Here is a 4,752-nt window from a genome sequence, read left to right on the forward strand (position 1 = left end):
TTTATATCATAAACGGATGTTGAGTTTTGTCAAACTTTTTTACTACATTTACGGATATGATCATATGATTTTAATTTATTCTCTTGGTGAGATGGATTACATTAGCTAATTTCTGCATGTTGAACCAGCCTTGCATACCTAGAATAAATTCCACATGGTCATGATATATAATTCATTTTGTACATTGTTTGATTCAATGTGTTAATATTTTATTGAGGATTTTCACATCTGTGTTCATGAGAGATATTGACATATAGTTTTCCTGTCTTGTAATATCTTTGTCTAGTTTTGGTATTTGGGTAATGCTGATCTTATAGAATGAGTTAGGACGTGTTCCCTCTGTTTTTATTTTCAGGAATAGATTATAGGGAATCTGTTACCATTTCTTCCCTAAATATTTGGTAGAATTTACCAGTGAAACCATCAGAATCTGGTGCTTTCTGCTTTGGAAGGTAATTAATTATTGATTCAATTTAAAACACAAATATAGGCCTATTTAGATGATTTATTTCCCCTTGTGTGAGTTTTCACAGACTGTGTCTTTCAAGGAATTGGTCTATTTCACCTAGGTTATCAAATTTGTAGGCCTACAGTTATTCATAATATTCCTTCATTATCCTTTTAATGTGTATGGGATCTATAGTGAATGTTCTCACTTTCATTCCTGGTATTAGTAATTTGGGTTTTCCTTCTTTTTTTCTTGCTTAGTTGGTCTGGAGGTTTATCAATTTCATTGCTCCTTTCAAAGAACTAGCTTTTATTTTCATTTGTTTTCTCGAATTTTTTTTGAAAAATTTCTTTGATTTCTGCTCTAATTTTTATTTTTTGTCTTCTGCTTACCTTGGATCTAATTTGTTCTTATTTTTCCAGCTTCCTAAGATATCTTAGATTATTGATTTTAGATATTTCTTCTTTTCTAATAACACTATTAATTTCTATCATAATATATGTGAAAACTATCGTAGACTGTACATTTTTGAAGTCAGCATTTGTGATTTATTCTTCACTGTATTTTTCTAGGTCAAAGAGAAGCACCCATAAACTAGTGTTTTCCAAACCTCAGTCATTCCCAGTCCATCTTCACATTTTTGCCATAGTCTTGTGCCATTTATGATAATACTTAACTAATTCTTAAAAAGGAATCACTTTTAAAAAACTAAATCAACATTTTTAGAATGGGATTTTTAATACAACTATAAATGGAAATCAGGATCTCTTCCCATGTAGGAATCTTGAAAAATATATATTAAACTCTATAAAATATTTACTGAAAATATGAAATGAAAATATTACTTGGCTACTATCTGAAGTCCTCTTAAATACCAGAGTTATCTTTGTGGTATTTTGGAAATCAGTGAAACAAATACAAATGAAAGAGGATACAAATGTATGCCAAAGTTCTACACCAGAGATTTTAAACTTTTTACTTTATTTTCTTGGGGTTAAATATAGGAACTTAGGGTAAGCATTAATAGAACGGTTACCTTAATGTGAAGGGAAAAAAATATTAGATTTATAGTAAGAAGACATGAATTTAAATGCCCTGTTTTTCTACCTCCTTGCTGCATGAGACAGAAAGTTCCACAGAATTTTTGTTGGTAGAAAGAATCAATGATGTTCGCTTGATTATATTGTCAGATGTAAATGAGATAAATTACAATTATGTTTTAAAATTGTCTAGTTTTATGGGAAAAGGATTATGATTCTGCACAGATATGCCTGTATCTACCCTTTTATAATGTAGTATTCAAAGTGTAGCATAGGCAGTTTTTTTTAAGCAACATTTGTGCAACTTTTTTTTGAAATGAGTACTTGACCAGGGGCATAGGTAGAGTTACTAAATATCAAAAAACAAGATTCATATTAGAGATCTTTTTAATGAAAATTAGTGGAGAAAAAATTTAGGGTAAGGACTGTTGCCTAGGAATATATTTATTTTTATGATTTCCTTAAATACGAAAAACCAATTCTTTGCGGGTGTTCACAGTTGGAGAATGGTTGTAAGTTCTACCTGCTATTTTGGTAAGTCAAACCAATATAGTCTTATTCATCCCTTTTTCTATTTTCCAAGTGTTCATTTTTTGCTCCTTTTTTATTGCCAGAATTTTCTAAAGAGTTATTTCAGAATTGCATACAAACAACATGATTCACCATTGTTTGGTACCATATAAGCAAAAAGCCCTAACTGATTAAGTGCTTTATCCCTTAACTGAAGGATTGACTTCTGAGCCACCATACTAAGTAGTTGGAGTAAGAGGTAAAGTAAATTAGCAAATACTTCATGAGCCAAATGGGAGTACCTCATAAGATAAAAATTTATTTTAGTTAAAGTTCCTTGAAATATTTTTCTAAGAATCAAGTTTTAAAAAAAGATACATTCAGGAGATTATTTAATACAGAAGCATTGGAAGATTTTGTCCTCATTGATATAATGAAGTCACTCTTTGGGCTGGATGTCAGTCACTGTAGTTTTTGAGGATACAGAAATGTCTGCATTCTGAAGTGTAAACAAAGGAGTAAATAAATTTATTTTTTACATGGCTTGATGTAATAGTATAGAATCTAGACATGGATAATAGATGCAACTCAGTCAACATGGATAACCAAAGTTCTTAAAACTACGCTTTCAATGAACACATATCCTTTGAGCAAGACTAATAATGAGGAATGGGAGCCAGCTCCTGTGATATTTATGCAACTACTAAATTCTCACTGAAGTCAATGGGAGTTTGCTTACGTAAGGGCTGCAAACTTTAGCCTCCAGAGATTAAAGGGGAAAAAAATCCTTAAACTCTTTCAACATTAATATTGCCTGTAAGGAATCCAGCCATGACCTAAGCCATGGAGCTTTCTGAACCTAGCAAGTAGAAGGGTAAACAGTAAACACCAGTTATTTTAAGCACAATCTAATCAGAGTTCAATGAGAAGCAATATTATATTTGATCTCTAAGGTATTAATACTTGTATATCACTATTAGACATCTTTATGTAGTCCATTATCCAAACAATGGCTTAAGTCTGTGGTATTTAATAAATCAAGTTTCCATGGCCGTGAGACTGAGTGGGAGTGGGGATGAAGCCTTTTTTCTTCATTTTTTTTTCCTCAGGTGCAATTCTGTGTTAATATAAGAGAAGTGTGGCCTTCCTTCTCATAGCACTAAAAGTGAGATAATCCCTGTGTAAGAAATCAGTAAGTACGGTCTGCTTAATCTAGTCCCAGTGTGAAACTGTTGACATTTGTTCTTTTTTCTATCATTATGTGACTGGGCCTGTTTTGTGCTGGATTAGGCACAAATCTCCTATGCAGCACATTTGGCATGTTACTAGTAGTTTAACTTCATTAATAATGTATGAAGAAAATGTAATCCATGACAAGGAAGCAAAGAAAAGTATTTTTTTTTTTTTTTGCTTCTCCCAAATCCTTTGGAATGAGTAATTATTCAACATTTTATGTTTGATGTTATATTTTACAATTCAACTTCCATAGTGATATTTAAAAAAGAAACTTTGGCAAATGCTTGCAAAAAACACACCTTTTACAATTTTAAATGTGATTTACTGATGGCCAGAACTTGTTAAACATAGTAGGAAATTAAATATTTATTCATCTTATTTCATTTTCAGGGCCGTAAACGCTCCTTCTGAGTCATTCCCAATAACAAGAATTTCTACCAGTAAAGCTATTAACAGGCATCAAAATAGGGGAGTGCTAAATTAAGATGAGATTGTAAAAGCAAATAAGAACATACGCAGACTCGCATAGGAGTGCAAATGATCGTTTCTGATTGAAATGTTTATAGCTAAATGAGTTTGGCTGAATTAAACACAAATGTTCCAAAAGATAAGCCGTAGCTGGTGCTTCTTTTTTCTGTTTTTTAAGCTGCTTTACAGACGAAAATGGAACTATATTTGGAACAATGCTTTCTGTTTTTCCATACTATTGATATTTGTGGAAAGTCACAAAATGGCCTAAGGAAGCTAAGCTCGCCCCAAGCAGTGGTCACTTACAAGTACTTTTGTACTCTGTACTCCTGTCACATTTGGGCGATCAGAGCAACAGCTGGGGAGACTTTTTCAACAAAGATGAGTGTCAGATAATCCTGATGAGATTCCACATCCAACATCTTTTGTAATTATGTCACATTCAGCTGTAATGGAATAATTCAAGCTGAAAGAACAAGCTTTGATCCTTTCTTAAACCTTTCCCTGTGGACTGGCTATCTAAAAGATTTAAAGATATTTCTGTTACAAGATCTAGTGTTTCCTCAGAGAAGTCATGCTTCTGAAGCATCGTGATCTACAAGAACAATATCAAGTTTGCCAAACACATTTCTGAAAGCATCGTGTTTTGGGGGGAGGGGTTGTATTTAATGAAGATATCAATAATATGCTATGCTTCAATTTTCATCTAGGTGATCAAGATTCATTTTCTTGTTCTGTCATCCAAATAGGCAGACAGAAAAGTGATTGAAATACATTATGGAGATGTGTCATTGCACATATAAAGCATCTGTGTGCAAATTCATCTTTTTTTATGCCTGTGCTTATTAAGTTGTGTTTTAATAGAAACTGACCTAGTGAAATACTAGCTATGTTGTAGAAATTAAAAAATAAAGTCATCAAGATACTAGCAAGTTCCAAATTTCTCATCTATAGGGGAATTTTTGTGCAAAATATTTATATTTTACTTTTATTAGGTTTTGTATTAAACTAATTAAACGGACAGATTGAACCTAACACAAGATTTTTGCA

At 32.2% G+C, this 4,752-nt stretch overlaps 1 annotated feature.

Annotated features, from left to right (window-relative positions):
- Window positions 2,591-4,500: an enhancer, noted in NCBI's record as "VISTA enhancer hs930". NCBI's record gives its function as "enhancer in: midbrain (mesencephalon)[4/5]" and the evidence as "EXISTENCE:transgenic organism evidence [ECO:0001131][PMID:17130149]".

This window comes from Homo sapiens, chromosome 4 (genome assembly GCF_000001405.40).
Source record: "Homo sapiens chromosome 4, GRCh38.p14 Primary Assembly".
NCBI classification, from domain to species: domain Eukaryota; kingdom Metazoa; phylum Chordata; class Mammalia; order Primates; family Hominidae; genus Homo; species Homo sapiens.